The sequence below is a fragment of the Homo sapiens genome, chromosome 19 (genome assembly GCF_000001405.40).
Source record: "Homo sapiens chromosome 19, GRCh38.p14 Primary Assembly".
NCBI classification, from domain to species: Eukaryota; Metazoa; Chordata; class Mammalia; order Primates; family Hominidae; genus Homo; species Homo sapiens.
This window is the reverse complement of record NC_000019.10, coordinates 43,963,511-43,983,709: the sequence shown is the minus strand read 5'-3', so window position 1 is coordinate 43,983,709 and position 20,199 is coordinate 43,963,511. Positions and strand designations below refer to the sequence as shown.

The 20,199-nt window shown below is 39.0% G+C and overlaps 1 protein-coding gene across 5 annotated transcripts in view; it reads right to left on the bottom strand.

Moving 5' to 3' along the window:
- Window positions 1-2,096: 2,096 nt before the first annotated feature.
- The window catches only part of ZNF221 (zinc finger protein 221), a 30,386-nt gene continuing 12,283 nt past the window's right edge, over window positions 2,097-20,199 (bottom strand). For 4 of the 5 annotated variants that reach the window (NM_001297589.2, NM_013359.3, NM_001297588.2 and 1 more), the window contains 3 exons: window positions 18,634-18,760; window positions 18,385-18,477; window positions 16,001-17,906 (listed from right to left, as the gene is read on the bottom strand). In NM_001297589.2, coding sequence (NP_001284518.1) covers window positions 16,354-17,906; window positions 18,385-18,477; window positions 18,634-18,760 — 1,773 coding nt within the window. In that variant the 3' untranslated portion in view covers window positions 16,001-16,353. Of the gene's footprint in view, window positions 13,941-15,625; window positions 17,907-18,384; window positions 18,478-18,633; window positions 18,761-20,199 lie in introns of those variants that run through there. The other variant, XR_007066976.1, reaches the window with a different exon arrangement.

The following is a 20,199-nucleotide window of genomic DNA, read 5'->3' as shown; positions in this document are numbered from 1 at the left end:
ACAGCTGTATCCTTGCTCTGTTCTGCCCTCCCAAGAGATAAAAATTTATTGACACGCTCAATCGTAGTAGGCAGGAAACTGTGCCTAATATATTAGGGTATATCTGGCATCAAAGGCCCTTTCTGTCCCCCAGGTCCTTGCACTCTGGGCCTGTGATGGGAGGAGAAGCTGCCATAATCTGTGAAATGCCTTTGGGGTCATTCTTCCATTGTCTTGGACAATAGGTCCTGGCTTCAGTTGACATGGCCAATCCATACTAAATTCATGAATTAGTTAGTTGCTTAACCATACCCTTGTATTCTTCAGGTTTCCTGTTTTTTTTTTTTTCCAAAGTAGATAGGCTGTAAACTTTTAAAAATTTTAGTTCTGTTTCCCTTTTAATTAATAATTATTTCAGTCATTCCTCACTTCGTGCCTTTCACTACGGGTAGTCAAGATGATTCAAGCAACTTCAACACTTTGATTAGAAATTAATTCAGATAAACAATTATATCATTCACAAATTCTACCTTCCATAAAACACTAGCACCTGAATATAATTCAGCCAAATTCTTTGTCCCTTTATAACAAGAAGCTCTCTTCTCTTCCAATAACATGTTCAACATTTCTGACTGAGGTCTTCAGAATGGCCTTTACTGTCCATATTTCTACCAACATTCTGATCATGACTACCTAGGTATGCTCTAACAAGATTGATGTTTTCTCTACAGTTCTTATTCTCTATTTCTGAGCGCTAACCAGAATTGTCCTTATCAGTCCATTCATGGCAATGTAGGCTTTTCCTAGCATACATGTAAAAACTCTTCTAGACTCTATCCATTACATAGTTCCAAAGACTGCTACATTTTTAGGTATTTGTTGCAGCAGCAAGCCCACCTCTCAGTACCAATATTTTTTAGTCACAAAATATCATAGCCTGCCTGGCTTTTATTTTATTTTATTTTATTTTATTTTATTTTATTTTATTTTATTTTATTTTATTTTTGAGACGGAGTCTTGCTCTGTCGCCCAGGCTAGAGTGCAGTGGCGCGATCTCGGCTCACTGCAAGCTCTGCCTCCCAGGTTCATGCCATTCTTCTGTCTCAGCCTCCCGAGTAGCTGGGACTACAGGTGCTCGCCACCATGCCCGGCTAATTTTTTTGTATTTTTGGTAGAGAAGAGGTTTCACCGTGTTAGCCAGGATGGTCTCGATCTGACCTTGTGATCCGCCCACCTCGGCCTCCCAAAGTGCTGGGATTACAGGCGTGAGCGACCACGCCCGGCCGGCTTTTAAGCAACAGAAATCTATTCTTCACAGATCTGGAAACTGGGATCCAAGATCAAAGCACTGGCAGATTTTGTGTCAGGTAGTTGGCCACTTTCTTGTTCATAGTTAGCACCATATTGCTGTGTCTTCATTTGGTTGAAGTGACAAACAAGCTCCTTCTGGCATTTTTTATAAGGGTATTCATCCCGTGACCTAATCACCCTCCAAAGGCCCCACCTCCTATTACCATCACATTGAGGGTAAAAATTACAATATATGGATTTTGGTGGGCCACAAACATTAAGACCATTGCATACGCATCATGCAGTGTCAGAGTTACTAATTCATATCATTGTAAAAAACAATGCAAAAGTAGAGTTCAACATTTTTTATAGTTCTTTTTGTCTTTAGACTGAGGATATATAGTCAAACACTGTACTGTTTAATAAGTTGCTTAAATTACTTCTTGCTGTCACCTTTAGACTGTTTATGTTATTGATTTGAAATACATTTAGGTTAATTTGTTATTCTATGATTTTCACTTTCCTAGTTTATCTACAAAGAAATCTCATTCTTGATTTTATATTATTGGGTATGTCAGTCATCAACATGTTCCCATGAGTCAATGCTCTACCACATATTATTCTCAGAGAAGTGCCACTCCCCTCCTTCCTACCCCTAAACCAATTCCACAGTGTTGCCACCTAACACCTTTATGTAACTAATTTTATTATTTTCATTACCACTTTTTTTTAACAGAATAGATGTGTTTCTTATTTTTCCTTTTTACTTAAATGTTAGGATAGTACACTTCTAATTCTTCTATATTCACATAATAACATCTTGGAAATCATGTCATATGGAGTAATTTATTTTTAAAACTGCATAAATTCCATTGAGTGGTTTATATAACAGTGCTGCAATTTATGGACATTTCAGTGACTTCCAATATTTTATTATTACAAATGATGCTGTTATAAATACACTTGTACATTTGTATATTATCCCTGTTGAAGATACATCAGAAGAGTACATCCCAGAAAGCAGGATTGAAAAGTGAAGATATTAATAGAAATTTTGTTGCATATTGTCAAGTTGCCTTAATTTTTTGGTACCATTTCCATTTGCAGAAGTAATGTATAAATATACTCTTGCCTTGAAACTAGCTAACAAAATGTGTTATTACAACATTTTTAAAGTTTTGCCAATCAAATGGTAAGAAGTGTATTTAAATTTAGTTTTAATTTATATTTCTTGTTTTTTAAATAACATAGAACATTTTTGCATATTTCCTGTGTCAATATTATTTTTCTTTTTGTAAATTGTTCAAATCTATTACCCATTTTTATGTTGAGTTTTTGGTCTGTTCGCCTCAATTTTTTTTTTTAGAACAAGGTCTTGCTATGTTGCCAAGGCTTGTCTTGAAGTCCTGGGCTCAAGCGATTCTCCCACCTCAGCCTTGTAAAGTGCTGATTTACTAACTAGGGCCAGCCAAAGGCTCAACCATCACTATCTTTCATTAACATTTTAATCACTTTTGGCTTTTCTGGGTCATAGGGTCCTGATGGCAGAGAAACTTACATAGCAGCTGGGACACATTGCACAGACTTATCTTGGATGAGTCAAAATGTTTTCAGGTCACACAAAATAGGCAAAGTAGCACGCCTCAATGAGGAATAAGTAGCATACAATAGCCCCAGTGGTCCACTAGGCGTTGTGACGCTATTTTTTGATCGTAGGAAGGGCTATATTCTACTTGCCCTACACCCAGAAGGGATAGCTCAATAGGCCTACATCAGTGAACTTGTGGAAATTTCACCAAGGTGAAAGGCCCATGAATTATTATAAGATTTATTTCTTCCCTCTGGTATGTATGTATCTTACAAATATGCCTAGATTCCTTCCTGCTTCCTTCTCACCAGGCCCAATCATCAAAATATAAACGTGCCATTTGATAATAGGAGTTAGTCGTTGCCAAGATGTTTGAATATTTCTCCTTTTGAGTACATAGTCACACGGGTTAATGGCTGTAGGGCCTTGTGAAGCACTCTGCAACGTACCAGCGTCCATCCTAATACAGAACTGACCTCCCGTTTATTGAAGCAATTGTGGATTTGTAAACTGGACTTGTCTTAGAATTGATTTGGGAGATGTGATTCTGTTAGGTAATTCCAGTTGGATTTCTGTTTACTTGCAAGAGAATCCTCCTGCCTATACAAATAAAGTAACAGTGTAATAGATTTCCTGTCAAGTTATTTACTATGAATGCCAAGATCAACAACACAAGGTTAAGAAGCCATGCATAATGACTGACGCTTTCAGGTTATTCTGATTGAGCTGGAATTTGATGCCTTGTCCTCATCTTTTTCTTTCCCACTTTCTGAAGCACAAATCAGAGCAACTAGTAAATACCACTATAGTCCTTCGTTTGACTATTATGTCCGAAACTAACAAATTCATGGTCATCTAGAATCATGCCTTCTATAGGTATATGCTTGGGATTATCCAATATATTTGGCATATATTTATCACCATGTCGTGGCTTTAACAACCAATGCCCTATTTTCCACTGGAAATAAAGTCAATAGTGCCTTTAAACTAAAAAAGATGAGAAATCCAATTTGAGAAAACACAGAATTGATTTAGAAAACTCATTCTTAAGATTCTCTTCCTCTAGAACCACTTCTGGAACAAAATATCTTTTGGTCAGCGTTGAAACGGAGTAACAAAATCAATATGACATATACAAATGATTTATTGCAAGGAACTTTCTTATGCCACTGTGGGACTGGCTAAGCAACTGCAAAAAACATATGGCTATACCCCAGGATGGCTCAGATGGAACACTAACCCACGAGAGGAAGATGCTACTAAAAGGTGCAATTTCTTTTTTCAAAGAAGCTTCAGCTCTACTTTTAAATAATTTCAAGTGATTCATCAGGCCCACTGACATTATCTCACATAATATCCCTACTCAAAGCCAACTGATTATGGGCTAAATATCTACAAAATGCCTTCCATATATATATATATATATATATGTATTACTGTTTGATTAAATAACTAGGGACTGTAGTCTAGGCATGTTGTAATTAAAATTGATACCACACAGATCCTCATCATCAGAAAACTGTTTAAGGAAAAATTAATATTCAGTACACCAGGATACAGCAGGCATTAGAAATGAGGTTGGAGGTCAACTTATTTATACAGCCTTTAACATTAGTGTCATATTAGGACAATCCTGTTAGGAGCAAGTATGCTTAGTGTGTTCCTAGTTTTGTAAAATTCTATACAATTGTTACCTATATGCATAGATATGCTGAACCATCCTTACCAAAATATTCATACTTCCTATCTTCCACTTTCTTTTTTAGACTTTTCTGTACCAAAGTAATTGTTTCCAATGTCTAGACATTATTCTTGCAAGTAAAATGAGTGTATTTTTACTATAAAAATTAAAAACAACAACAAATCTATCCAGGAAGTTATTGTCATAGTGTATCAAAAAAAAAAAAAAAAAAAAAAAACACACACACACAAATGTTGTGGCATTTAGCTCAAACATTTAAATGGATATCCTACTGATATGGTCAGAGAATAATAACTTGGGAAGCTTCCCTCATTTTTCAAACACAGAGATTGAGACTCTGCAATAATTCCCAATTATAATAATGTACCCAATTTCAAAGTTAACATAGTGAACTTGCCAGGGTCATATACATAAAAGAGACCCAGTCCATCGTGAGAAGTGGCAAGAAATACTGGCCACACAAAAGCTCAGGTACTACATATGAAGCTAGGTATTCAATATTCAGTTTTATTGGGAGTCAAATACTCATGCAGTCTGTGAGACATAAATATGAACAATAAAAACAAATCAGCTGTTAATATCATCCTGTGACCAATTTGAGGACCCAGACACACACGAGGGTAGATGGAAGGCCTACCTATGGTATTTTTTATTATAAAAATATTTAAAAATGTAATCTGATGAATTTTCTTTTACAAATAATTATCTTAGAGATGAACTATTATCTGGTGATAGTTTAAGAAAACCCCACAAGACTGCAGGCCCTACTTTTCTGATACCACATGCACAAAAAGTTAACATAGCAGGCATAAGTCAGACTGCTAACTTTAAAAAGAGCTGTTTGCAACACTGGCCTTTGGCTGGAGTCAAGGAACATGGGGTTTGAGAGAGTTACCACCTTTCCATAATGGGTAGGAGTGGTCACTGCGCCTAAACTCTACAATGCAGCTTATTTGGAACACTTGCTCTTCTTCTTAGAGTTGGGAATCTTGATATGTACTAGACACATACCTACATAATCAATCTCAATAAGAACCTGTGCTGCTGGTTGCTAATGAGCTTCCATTGTAGACATTTCACAAGTAGTATCACAATTCAATGCTAGAGGAGTTGAGTCTTATGTAACACCATGCAGAGAGGACTCTGGTAAGCTTGCTTCTGGTTTCCTCTAGACAACTGCCCATGAGCCATTTCCCTTTACAGATTCTGTTTTGTATCTTGTCACTGTAATATTGTTATAAGTACAACTATAGTCTCAGTTATTTTAGTAAATCACAGAACCCAGAGGTGGTCTTAGGGACCTCCAATCTACTATCCAAACTGGCACAGCATGAATATAGCATCATGAAAATACATTATTTAGAAAATTAATTATGAAAAGCTTACTATCTCAACTAGACACTTTGAAGAATGCCTTTTAACCTAATACAGTTAAGTTACACCATGGTGTATAACTATGAATTAGCACCCAAATCAGCTCTTTGTCCGAGCTGGTTCCACACACTAAGAGACTGCTGCTGTCATGTTAAGTTCCCTGATCATGCGCATTTGTTCTTCAAAGAATCTGTTTTTTTAACCTCCACAACTATATATACCCACATTATTTCTGTCACTAGGATTTGCTTGCTTCCTGACTTATGCCTAAAGCAGAATCACACACATTAGTTATGAAGGCAGTTGACCACACTCATCAATCTGTATATCCAGGTGACCAGATACATTTTTTTATTTTGAAATATGACTTCCACATCCCTATTCCTTAATTTTGAACTGTCATATGACAATGTAGAGCAATCTTATTCAGAGTCCTTATAGGTAAGTGATTAATATTAATAATTTTTCAAATTTTTCATCACATAACTGCTTTGGTAAAATTGGTGTTCAATGAGAAATTTAAAATGCATAAAATTATAAAATGAAAAATTCCAGCAAATACTCATTGCCAGGGAAAATGTCAGAATATTCATCCACAAATGATGTACATACACACTAAAAATAACCAAATAAACAAACCCAGAAACACAAAGACACTTAGTTTGTTATGAAGGCTACAATAGGATTTCCCTAAGGCATACATTATGCTCTTCTCTTTTTATTGTACATCTATGTCATCATTTTACTGGCTTTGTGTTTTTATATTAATAAATGCACTTCATACAAATTCCTGTGGTTGAACACTTGTTCTTTCCATTTTAAAATTAAGTGACATCATCCATGTAATCTACTAATTTTCAGAGTTTTAATGTTGTAATTTTCTATCCTATGATTTCCAGGTTGAACAGTTGTACCTTATACATACTGCCATATACCACTTTCCAAAAAACGTATTCTTATGGCCAACAATAAAGAAGAGTATGTAAAGGTTACTCTTGCTCCAATAATGAATATGTATGATGAAATCACCAAACTCCAACAAATGTTCTTGGTAGTTCATAGAGATGGGAAGAAATACTGAGGTTGCCAAAAATTTTCCTTCAAATTTGGCAAAGCTTCTACCTGAGAAGTCTGATAAAAGAAATAACTACAGCAATTAGAAGGCAATCATATTAAAGCCTGCACAGAAACGCAGAATCACAAATCATGATCAATTCAAAACTTATTAGGAATTTTTTTTTAGATGAAGTCTCGCTCTGTTGCCCAGGCTGGAGTACAGTGGCACAATCTCAGCTCACTGCAACCTCCGCCTCCCAGGCTCAAGCGATTCTCATGCCTCAGCCTCTCAGGTAGCTGGGATTACAGGCACACACCACCACACCAGCTAATTTTTGTATTTTTAGTAGAGACGGGGTTTTGCCATGTTGACCAGGCTGATCTCGAACCCATGGCCTCAAGTGATCCACCTGCCTCAGCCTCCCAAAGTGCTGGGATTACAGGAGTGAGCCACCACACCTGGCCTTTACCAGAAAAATTTTTGTCAATGTAACTACATCTGCCACATTAGAAATGTTACTGTGGGCTGGGTGTGGTGGCTCATGCCTATAATTCAAGCACTTTGGGAGGCTGAGGTAGGAGGATTGCCTGAGCCTAGAAGTTCAAGGCCAGCCAAGCAACATGGTGAGACTGTCTCTATTCCTTAAAAATAATTTTTTAAAAGAAAAAAGTGTTTACTGTGAATCCTGCCTTAAAATTGTTGAAAAAACTTAATTGTACAATATGCAGTGGTCTGTTATTACAAAATCTTTTCACCTCATATTGTGAGAAAAGTGACAAATGATTGTTAAATTTATACTATATACAATCAAGGGAACACTAGACAGAGTCCCAAATAATAAGAATCCGACTTGAGAACAGAGGATGAGGAGAAGCCAGGAGCCAAGTGGAATAAGATAATAATCAAAATAAAGGTCTACATTGCAGTGCTGAGTGTACCCTGCATTTCAACTCATGTTTCCATAAATTATTTCTTGCAAGATTTCTCCTTTTTAATACTATGATTTAGTTTTTTCTTCAACTTTTATTTTAAGTTCAGGGGTACATGTGCAGGATGTGCAGGTTTGTTACATAGGTAAATGTGAGCCATGGTGGTTTGCTGCACAGATCAATCTATCACCTAGGTATTAAGCACAGCATCCATTAGCTATTCTGCCTGATGCTCTCCCTCCCTCCACCCCTCCAAGAGGCCCCAGTGTGTGTTGTTTCCCACCATGTGTCCATATGTTCTCATCATTCAGCTCCCACTTATAAGTGAGAACATGCAGTGTTTGGTTTTCTGTTCCTGTGTTAGTTTGCTGAGGATAACGGCTTCTAGCTCCATCCATGTCCTGGATGATCTAATTTCTTTTTATGTTTGCATAGTATTCCATGGTCTATATGTATGACATTTTCTTTATCCAGTCTATCATTGATGGGCATTTGGGCTGAGTCCATGTCTTTGTTATTTTGAATAGTGCTGCAGTGAGCATACAAGTGCATGTATCTTTCTAATAGAATGATTTATAATTTGGGGGTATATATTACAGTAATGGGATTGCTAGGTGAAATGGTATTTCTGCCTCTAAATCTTTGAGGAATTGCCACACTGTCTTCCACAATGGTTCAACTAATTTATACTCCCACTAACAATGTAAAAGCATTCCTTTTTCTCCCCAACTTCACCAACAACTGTTGCTTTTTGACTTTTTTTTTTTTTGAGACACAGTTTCACTGTTGCCCAGGCTGAAGTGCAGTGGCATGACCTTGACTCACTGCAACCTCTGCCTCCGGTTCAACCAATTCTCATGCCTCAGCCTCCCAAGTAGCTGGGGATTATAGGCATGCACCACCACATCCAGCTAATTTTTTGTATTTTTAGTAGAGACAGGGGTTCGTTTCGCCATGTTGGCCGGGCTGGTCTCCAACTCCTGACCTCAAGTGATCCACCCACCTCAGCCTCCCAAAGGTTTGGGATTACAGCACTTTGAGCTGCTGCAAATGGCTTCTTTTTTACTTTTTTATAATTGCCATTGTGACTGATGTGAGACAGTATCTCATTGTGGTTTTGATTTGCATTTATCTAATGATAGTGATGTTGAGCTTTTTTTTCATGTTTGTCAGCTGCATGTACGTCTTCTTTTGAGAAGTGCCTGTTGATGTCTTTTGCCCACTTTTTAATGGTTTTTTTTCTCGTAAATTTGTTTAAGTTCCTTGTAGGCTCTGGATATTAGACCTTTGTCAGATGGACAGATTGCAAAGATTTTCTCCCATTCTGTAGGTTGTCTGTTCACCCTGATAATAGTTTCTTTTGGTGTGCAGAAGCTCTTTAGTTTAATTAGATCCCATTTGTCAAATTTTGCTTTTGTTGCAATTGCTTTTGGTGTTTTCATCGTGAAATCTTTGCCTGTCCCTATGTCCTGGATGGTATCACCTAGATTTTCTTCTGGGGTTTTTATAGTTTTGGGTTTCATAAGTTTTTAATCCATCTTAATTTTTGTATAATGTTTGTAAGGAAGGGGTCCAGTTTCAATTTTCTGTGCATGGCTAGCCAGTTCTCCCAGCACCGTTTATTATATAGGGAATCATTTCCCCACTGCTTGTTTTTGTCAGGTTTGTTGAATATCAGATGGTTGTAGGTGTGTGGTCTTATTTCTGAGTTCTCTATTCTGTTCCATTTGTCTATGTGTCTGTTTTTGTTCCAGTACTATGCTGTTTTCGTTACTGTAGCCTTGGAGTATAGTTTGAAGTTGGGTTGCATAATGCCTCCAGCTTTGTTCTTTTTTGCTTAGAATTGTCTTGGCTATTTGGGCTATTCTTTGGTTCCAAATGAATTTTAAAATAGGTTTTTTTTTCTAATTCTGTGAAGAATGTCAACGGTAGTTTAATGGGAATAGCATTGAATCTATAAATTACTTTGGGCAGTATGGCCATTTCACAATATTGATTCTTCCTATCCATGAGCATGAAATGTTTTTCCATTTGTGTCCTCTCTGATTTCTTTGAGCAGTGGTTTGTAGTTCTCCTTGAAGGGGTCCTTCGCTTCCCTTGTTAGCTGTATTCCTAGATAACTTATTCTTTCTGTAGCAATTGTGAATGGGAGTTCATTCATGATTCGGCTCTCTGCTTGCCTGTCGTTGGTTTATAGGAATGCTAGCGGTTTTGCACATTGATTTTGTATCCTGAGACATTGCTGAAGTTGCTTATCAGCTTAAAAAGCTTTTGGGCTGAGATGATGGGGTTTTCTAGATATAGGATCATGTCATCTGCAAACAAAGATACTGTGACTTCCTCTCTATTTGAATATGCTTTATTTCTTTCACTTGTCTGACTTGACTGGCCAGAACTTCCAATACTGTGTTGAACAGGAGTGGGGAAAGGGCGGGGGGCTGGTCCTTGTCTTGTGCCAGTTTTCAAGGGGAATGATTACAACTTTTGCCCACTCAGTATGATATTGGCTGTGGGTTTGAAATCTATGGCTCTTATTATTTTGAGGTATGTTCCTTCAGTACCTAGTTTACAGAGAGCTTTTAGCATGAAGGGATGTTGAATTTTATCAAAGGCCTTTTCTGCATCTATTGAGAGAATCATGTGATTTTTGTCTTTGGTTCTCATTATGTGATCACATTTATTGATTTGCATATGTTGAACCAACGTTGCATCCTGGGGATGAAGCCAACTTGATTGTGGTAGATAAGCTTTTTGATGTGCTGCTGGATTCAGTTTGCCAGTATTTTGTTGAGGATTTTTGCATTGATAGTCATCAGGGATACTGGCCTGAAGTTTTCTTTTTTCGTTTTATCTCTGCCAGATTTTGGTATCAGGATGATGCTGGCCTCATAAAAAGAGTTAAGGAGGAATCCCTTCTTTTCAATTGTTTGGAATAGTTTCAGTAGAAATGGTACCAGCTCTTTTTTGTACCTCTGGTAGAATTCAGCTGTAAATTTGTCTGGTCCTGGGCTTTTTTTTTTTTTTTTTGGTAGACTATTACTGCCTCAATTTCAGAAGTCGTTATTGGTCTATTCAAGGATTCAATTTCTTCCAGGTTCAGCCTTAGGAGGGTGTATGTTTCCAGAAATTTATTCTCTTTTTCTAGATTTTCTAGTTTATGTGCAGAGAGGTGTTTATAATATTCTCTGATGGTTGCTTGTATTTCTGTGGGGTCAGTGGTGATATCCCCTTTATCATTTCTGATTGTGTTGGATTCTTCTCTCTTTTCTTCTTTATTAGTCTAGTTAGCAGTCTATTAATTTTTTTCAAAAAACCAGCTCCTGGATTTGTTAATTTTTGAAAGATTTTTTGTGTCTCTGTCTCCTTGAGTTCTGCTCTGATCTTATTTCCTGTATTCTGCTAGCTTTGGGGTTTGTTTTTGGTTCTCTATTTTAGTTGTGATGTTGTTAACTTGAGATCTTTCTAGCTTTTTGATGTGGGCATTTAGTGCTATTAATTTCTGTCTTAACACTTCTTTAGCTGCATCCCAGAGATTCTGGTACATTGTGTCTTTATTCTTATTAGTTTCAAATAATTTCTTGATCTATGCCTTAATTTCAGTATTTACCCAGGAGTCATTCACAAGCAGGTTATTCAATTTCCACATAGTTGTGTGGTTCTGAGTTAATTTCATTTTTGTTTTAATTTTTTGGGTGAATTTCTTAATCTTGAGTTCAATTTGATTGTGCTATGGTCTGAGAGACTGTTATGATTTCAGTTCTTTTGCATTTGCTGAGGAGTGTTTACTTCCGATTATGTGATCAATTTTTAAGAGCCATGTGATGATGAGAAAAATGTATATTCTGTTGTTTTGGAGTGGAGAGTTCTGCAGATATCTATCAGGTCTGCTTAATCCAGAGCTGAGTTAAGGTCCTCAACATCTTTGTTAATTTTTTATCTCAATGATCTAATATTGTCAATGGAGTGTTAAAGTCTCCCACTATTACTGTGTGGGAGTCTAAGTCTCTTTGTAGGTCTCTAAGAACTTACTTTATGAATCTGGGTCCTCTGCTATTGGGTGCGTATATATGTTTAGAATAGTTAGCTCTTCTTGTTGAACCCTTTGCTGTTATGTAATGCCTTGCTTTGTCTTTTTTTTTTTTTTTATCTTTGTTGGTTTAAAGTCTGTTTTGTCAAAAACTAGGATTGTGACTCCTGCTTTTTTCTGATTTCCATTTTCTTGGTAGATTTTCCTCCATCCCTTTATTTTGAGCCTATGTGTGTCTTTGCACGTGTGATGGGTCTCTTAAACACGGCGTATCAATCGGTCTTGGCTCTTTATCCAGCTTGCACTTCTCTGTCTTTCAATTGGGGCATTTAGCCTATTTACATTTGATATTAGTATTGTTATGTGTGAATTTGATCCTGCCATCATGATGCTAGCTGGTTATTTTGCAGACTTGTTTATGTGGTTGCTTTATAGTGTCATTGGTCTATGTACTTCAGTGTGTTTTTGTAGTGGCTGGTAATGGTTTTTTCTTTCCATATTTAGTGCTTCCTTCAGGAACTCTTGCAAGGAAGGCCTGGTGGTGATGAATTCTCTCAGCATTTGCTTGTCTGAAAAGGATCTTATTTCTTTGCACATAAAGCTTACTTTGGCCAGATACTAAATTCTGGCAAAGAATTCTTTAAGAATGCTGAATATTGACCCCCAATATCTTCTGGCTTGTAGGGTTTCCACTGAGATGTCTGCTATTAGTCTGATGGGCTTCCCTTTGTAGGGGACCTGACCTTTCATTCTCTCTGACTGCCCTTTACATTTTTTAATTTTGACCTTGGAGAATCTGATGATTATGTGTCTTGGGGTTGATCTTCTCATGGAGTATCTTACCGGGGTTCTCTGCATTTCCTGAATTTGAATATTAGCCTGTCATGCTAGGTTTGGAAAGTTATCCTGGATAACATCCTAAAGTATGTTTCCAACTTGTTTCCATTCTCCCCATCTGTTTCAGGTTCCGCAATCAGTCATAGGTTCAGTCTTTTTACATAACTCCATATTTTTTTTCAGAGGTTTTGTTCATTACTCTTCATTCTTTCTCTATTCTTCTCTGCCTGTCTTATTTCAGAAAGATAGTCTTCAAGCTCTGAGTCTCTTTCCTCCTCTTGGTCTATTCTACAATTGATACTTGTGATTGCATTGTTAAGTTCTTGTGTTGTGTTTTTCAGCTCCATCAAGTCAGTTATGTTCCTCTCTAAACTGGCTATTCTGGTCATCAGCTCCTGTATTGTTTTATCATGATTCTTAGCTTCTTTGCATTGGGTTATGCCATGCTCCTTTAGCTCAGCAAAGTTCATTACCCACTTTCTGAGGCCTACTTCTGTCAGTTCAGCCATCTCAGCCTCAGCCCAGTTCTGTACCCTTGCTAGAGAGGTGCTGTAGTCATTTGGAGAAGAGGCGCTCTGGCTTTTTGAGTTTTCAGCATTTTTTTGTGTTGACTTTTTATCATATCTGTGGGCTTACCTACCTTCAATCTTGAGGTTGCTGACCCTTGAATGGGGTTTTTGTGGGGTCTTTTTGTTGATGTTCTTGTTGTTTTCTGCCTGTTTTTAACAGTCAAGCCACTGACTGTTAGCAACTGTAGGGCTGCCACAGTTTGCTGGGGTCTGCTCGAGACCCTAGTTGCCTCCGTTTTTCCCGTACCTGGAGGTGTCACCAGTGAAAGCTGCAAAACAGCAAAGATGGCAGCCTTCTCCTTCTTTTGGAAACTCTGTCCCAGGGGGATACTGACCAGTTTCTGGCCTGAAGACTCCTGTAGGAGGTGTCTAGAGACTCCTGTTGGGAGGTCTCACTGAGTCAGGAGGAACAGGATCAGGGACCTACTTACAGAAGCAGTCCAACTGCTTTTGGTACAGCAGGTGTGCTGCGGTGGGGGAGGACCCTTCCTCACCCAGATTGCCCAGACTCTCCAAAGCCAGCAGGCTGGAACAGCTTTGTCAACCGAACCATAGAGACAGTGGTCGCCACTCCCCTGGGAGCTCCATCTGAGGTAGAGATTAGATTTCTGTCAGTATAAGCCTGGCTGGAGTGACTGAAGACCCCCCACAGGGAGACCCCACACAGTGGGGAGGAATGGATCAGGGTCCTGCTTAAAGAAGCAGTCTGGGCCAGGTGCAGTGGCTCATGCCTGTAATCCCAGCACTTTGGAAGGCTGAGGCAGGCGGATCACCTGCGGTCAGGAGTTCAAGACCAGCCTGGCCAACACGGTGAAACCCTGTCTCTATGAAAAATACAAAAATTAGCCAGGTGTGGTGGTACCTGCCTGTAATCCCAGCTACTTGGGAGGCTGAGGCAGGAGAATTGCTTGAACCCAAGAGGTGGAGGTTGCCATGAACCAAGAGCATGCCACTGCACTCCAGTCTGAGCAACAGAGTGAGACTCCATCTCAAAAAAAAAAAAAAAAAAAAAAAAAAAAAAAAGCAGCAGTCTGGGCATGATCTGGCAAAGCAGGTGTTCTGTGTTGGGCAGGGGGATCCTCTCCTTGTCCAGACAACCTGGTCTCTCCAGAGCTGGCAGGCTGGAATGCTGAGTAGACTGAACCACAGAAATGGTGGCCAGCCTTCCCCCACAGGAGCTCCCTCCTATTTCAGGCTGAAGCCTGTTGCTGTTGGTTGGTTGAAATTCCAAGCCAGTGGGTTTTGTAAGGTGCCATGGAAGTGGGGCCCACAGAATGTTGCTGCCTGGCTCCCTGGATTCAGCCCCCTTCCTAGGGGAATATAAGGATGAATCTGCCACCTTGCCAGGAATTCTGGGGCTAGAGCATGTAAACCTCCTGGGTCTCTGTGTGTGCCTGAGAGGCCGCTCTGCCAAAACTCCACACAGCTCTGTGTATCAAACCCAAGGCCCTGGTGGCATGGGCTCACAAGGAGATCTCCTGACCCGTGGGTTGCAAAGATCCTTGAGTAGCATGGTTTCCTGCGCAGGGTCGCACAATCACTCACTGCTTCCCTTGGGTGGGGGTGAGGTTTCCTTTGGCTCCATGCCACACCAAGTGGGCCATAACTCCACCCTACTTTTCTTCATTTTCTGTGGGTTGAATTGATTGCCTAGTCAGTCCCAATGAGAGAACCTAGATATTTCAATTGAAGGTGCTGAATTTATCTGTCATTTTCATTCCTCTGTATGAGTACCATGAACCATAGCTGCTTCTAATTGGCCATCTTGGTCTATCCCAGGTTTCCTCTTTTAGATACAATTTTGAAATATGTTTTCTCCTTTTGATCCTTTAATATCACATCTCTGATATTTCAAAAGATATGAAGCCCAGCCAAAGCTCTTTCTACATCTCTTACATGTACCAAACACACATACAAAGTGCCAATCAGTGTTAAGGTTGTGAAGATTCTGCAGCAAAGGTAAATGCAGCTTATATTCTAGCCGACATCAATTTTGACATGTCCATCATTAGAGATTTGTAAATGCCTGAACAAACTCCTATTCTTTCTAAGGCCTGTCTCTTGAATAACTATAATTGCCAAACTTCTGAATGAAGCCCCAAATTACAAAGGTTCTGTGCTACAGTGGTTCTAAAACCACGTGGGTATGCTGAACTATGGCTGAAACTCTGACTTTAACTTAAATATTTTCCCTCCTGAGACTGTATGAAATGTATCATCAGCATGGATTCTGTAATAAGCTATGAGATATGAACTCAAACTGAAGTGCTTACCACATGTATCAAATTTTTAATGCTTCTCCCATTGTGAACTCTCAGATGAGCTTGTAGTTGAGAAGACTATCACAGATATCACCTTACTAAGGTTTCCCTTGAAAGTGAACAGTCCAATGAAGTTGAAGACTTTGAGGCATAACTGAAGCACATGGCAATCTCCCCAAACTTCCACGGTTTCTCTGCCATATGGACCCTCTGATGCATATCAAGTCAAGTGCCTGTTGTAGTACATCCCATGCTCCTCACATTTGTATGGATTATCTCCACTGTGGACTCTTTTCTTGGTCTTTAAGATGTGATCTATGGCCGGGCGCAGTGGCTCACGCCTGTAATCCCAGCACTTTGGGAGGCCAAGGCGGGCGGATCACGAGGTCAGGAGATCGAGACCATCCTGGCTAACACGGTGAAACCCCGTCTCTACTAAAAATACAAAAAATTAGCTGGGTGTGGTGGCGGGCACCTGTAGTCCCAGCTACTCGGGAGGCTGAGGCAGGAGAATGGCGTGAACCTGGGAGGCGGAGCTTGCAGTGAGCTGAGATAGCGCCACTGCAGTCAGGCCTGGGTGAAAGAGTGAGACTCTGTCTCAAAAAAAAAAAAAAAAGATATGATCTATGTACAAAGCTCTTCCCACAGTTCTCATATTTGAATGGTTTTTCTCTGCTGTGGAGAATTGATGGGTCAGATGAGTTGAGGCCCAGCCAAAGCCCTTCCCACACTTCTCACATTTATATGGCTTTTCTCCCACATAGACTTACTGATGTAAATGAAGCTGTGAATTCTGAGTAGATCTCTTCCCACACTCCAGATTTCAATGGCTTTTCTCCACTGTGGAGTCTCTGATGTTTCAAAAGACATGAAGCCCAGCCAAAGCTCTTTCCACATTCCTTACAATTATAGGGTCGCTCTCCCCCGTGGACCCTCTGGTGCATGTCAAGATTAAATTTACTGTTGTACCCCTTCTCACACTGCTCACATTTGTATAGCTTTTCTCCAGTATGGCATGTCTGATGGGAATGAAGTTGTGAACTCTGAGTAAATCTCTTTCCACACTCTTCACATTTGAAAGGTTTTTCCCCACTGTGGAGTCTCTGATGTTTCAAAAGACAGGAGGCCCAGCCAAAGCTCTTGCCACATTCCTTACAATTATAGGGTCTCTCACCCGTGTGGACCCTCTGGTGAAACTCAAGATCCAACCTCCTTTTATAGTCCTTACCACACTCCTCACAGTTATATGGCTTTTCTCCATTGTGGGATCTCTGATGGGAAGATCGTCGTGAATTTGTATAAAATCCCTTCCCACATTCTTCACATTTGAAGGATTTTTGTCCACTGTGGACTTGCTGATGGTTCAAAAGACATGAGGACCATCTGAAGGTCTTCCCACATTCTTTACAATTATATGGTTTCTCTCCTGTGTGGACCATCTGATGCTTACAAAAATCTCGCCTACAAATGAAGCCTTTTCCACATTGCTCACATTTGTATGGCTTCTCTTCTATGTGGACCATGGAATGACTATTAAGTGCTGATCTCTGACGAAAGTTCTTGCCACATGTATCACATCTGAATGGTTTTTCTCCTGTGTGAACCATGGAATGCCTATTAAGTCTTGATCTAACACGGAAGCTCTTACCACATATATCACATTTGAATGGCTTCTCCCCAGTATGGATTCTCTGATGTTCTTGAAGCTGTGAATCATGAATGAAGGCTTTCCCACATTCCTCACAATTATAAGGTTTCTCTCCTGTGTGCAATTTGCAATGAACATTAAGTGCTGATCTACTATGGAAGCCTTTCCCACATTGCCCACATTTGAATGGTTTCTCTCCAGTATGGACTCTCTGATGAGTTTGCAGATGTGAGCTCTGATTAAATTCCTTACCACACACATCACACTTATAGCATTTTTCTCCCATATGGACTCTCTGATGAATATGAAGGGCTGGGCTGTAACAGAAGCTTTTTCCACACTCACCACATGTATGAGATTTCTCTCCTGAGTGTGATTGTTGATGAAGATCAAAGACAGAAACATCACTGAAGGACTGTTTACATTCATTACAACGGTAAGGTTTCTGTTGCACGTGACTTATAGATAGTCTTGCCTCAATCTGGCAGGGGACATCACCTTCTTTGAAGAACTGAGAGCTGTTCCTTATGGAGTTTTGAGACCTGGTTAGGTCACTTGCAATTTGTTCCCATATTTGCTGACAGGACCACTCTTCATGTGGTCCTGCTTCTGGAACAGTCTCCATCTCAATTTGGATCTTGCCTCCTAAAAAGACACAGAATTAATATATGTGGGCAAGTGAAGCCCTATTCAATGTTTTCAAGATTTCACACTTAGGACATGGCATTAAACTTTAATGAAAACAGGAAACATTAAGTTCATGTTTTCCGAGTGCACTATGGTCTTTGGTTTTCAAGAGAACAATTTAGAACCACATCACATCTCATATGTAAAATCCTGGTAGAAATAAAAGACTGAATTAAATAATTAATAACATACATACACTTAACCCGTTACTAATTCTGGTAAATTTCCTAGTCTAAAATCTTGTATGATAAATTATTAAACTAATAAAATATGAACATGAATAATGAAGCCAAAGGAACTTTAAAGAAGGAAGGCAGTTGCAATAAGTTATGAAAGAAGTTTGGCAATTTAGACCAGGGTGATGGAAATAGGCATGGACAGAAGTAAAACAGATGGAAGAGTCATGTACAAGGATGCACAGTTACTTGGTTCTTACCTGAATTCCCTTCTCTTTGGCTTGTTGTCTTCATCTTCCAAAACTTTTCCTTCCCTAAGAAGTGGAAAGTATCTTGGTGGAATGGTTGATTCCCTGTGAACACACAGTGACATGCTTAATTCCAACCCATTGTAGGTAATATCTAGGGAAAATTTACTGGAAATTTAGGTTCCCAATGCATACTCAAACTTGGAATACAAAGCCATTCCTGGGGCCTAACATTCTGTTACAGAGGGTGCCTGTCCTCACCTACTGAGAGCAGGTTCCTGAAGTTCTCTAGCATCACATCTCGGTACAGCTTCCTCTGGGCAGGGTCCAGCAGCCCCAGCTCCTCCTCAGTGAAGACCACAGCCACATCCTTGAATGTCACTGCCTCCTAAAATATCCAACATACAAAACCTAAATCTTATGACCAATGATTATTCAAAGAAGGGTGGCACTAAGTAGGCAAAGGGGACAGGTGTGGTAAGTTGTCCTAGATCTTGAGGGATGTAGGTCAACATACAGATTTCCCACTCATTCTGCCTATATCCTGACAATGACACACGCAGATTTTCATGAGCTTCATCAGAAGTGCAATGATATAAAAGAAGTCCTGTACTTTTACTTTGTGCAGTCATTGAGTCTACTTGTAAGTAGCCCTCTAGGACTCTACATGCTGCCTCCTGGGCTACAGGTATTTAGGTTTTAGTGTGTTGTTGCCAATTGCCCCAGTAACATTTAGAAGTTTAGTCCCAACTTTGATAATTTCCATTGTCTTCCTCTCTTCCATTGTCTTCCTTTCATACTCAAACTGTGGATGTTGTTAACTTTTCTTTAGTATCTGTCAAACTAACCAGTATATGGTGACCTGTGTGGGACAGCTATGCATTGCATCCTCTATATGCTCAAGGCACAAACTACATACATTAGTTGCATCATTCAATGTCATGATATGGAACCATCATGCCTCAGAGCACATCCCAAAGCTTTGTCCCTTCCTAGATGTGTGGCTTTGGACAAGCTCACCTACATGCATTAGTTTCCTGTCTGTATAATGATTTTCACCTGGTATCGTTTTTTCAAGGATTAAAGAAGGAAATATATATAGCATTGGGAAAACTGTGTGGCAAAGACTAAGTATTTAATAAATATTATCTATTTTTATTATAACTGTCATTATTGTTATTTATTTCATCTCATTTCATATCTGCAAAGTATTCCAGGGCAAAAATGATCTCTTTTTATTTAAATAATGAATACTTCATATTAAATATTTTTTATTATCAATCCTGTAAAGAAAATAATTTTATATAGACTTTATTCTCCTGATTATTTAAAATAATGTCAAATGAAAATGAGAATGTCAATAAACACATTTAAAATTGTGATTACATAATTTCATACTTTCTTCCAAATTTTTTACCTACTTCCCACTCTTCCGAGTGAACACAAGTACCCTTATTCTCCTTATGATGGTTAAGAGCAGGTTGTAAATATTCCCATGGTTTCGGTAATATGATTAGGAAGAAGAATTCATTGTATTAATATCATTCTCACTTATTTGATTATAAATGAGCAGAATGGCTAACATTCCTGACCTTGGTTGCCTATGTGAATCTGAGCAGATTTCTCATATTTTATGAGTTTAAGAGGAAGATGAGACTAAAACCTGCATTCTGCTTCTCTGAGTAAATATAGTAACACAACACAAGTGATTGGCCAATCTTCCAGTATCACTGGACATTTCAAATGAAGGTACCTACTACTTTGGTAAAACTGCTTACTCCATAAAGGAATAAGAAGAGACCAATAAATAACATGCATACAAGGTAT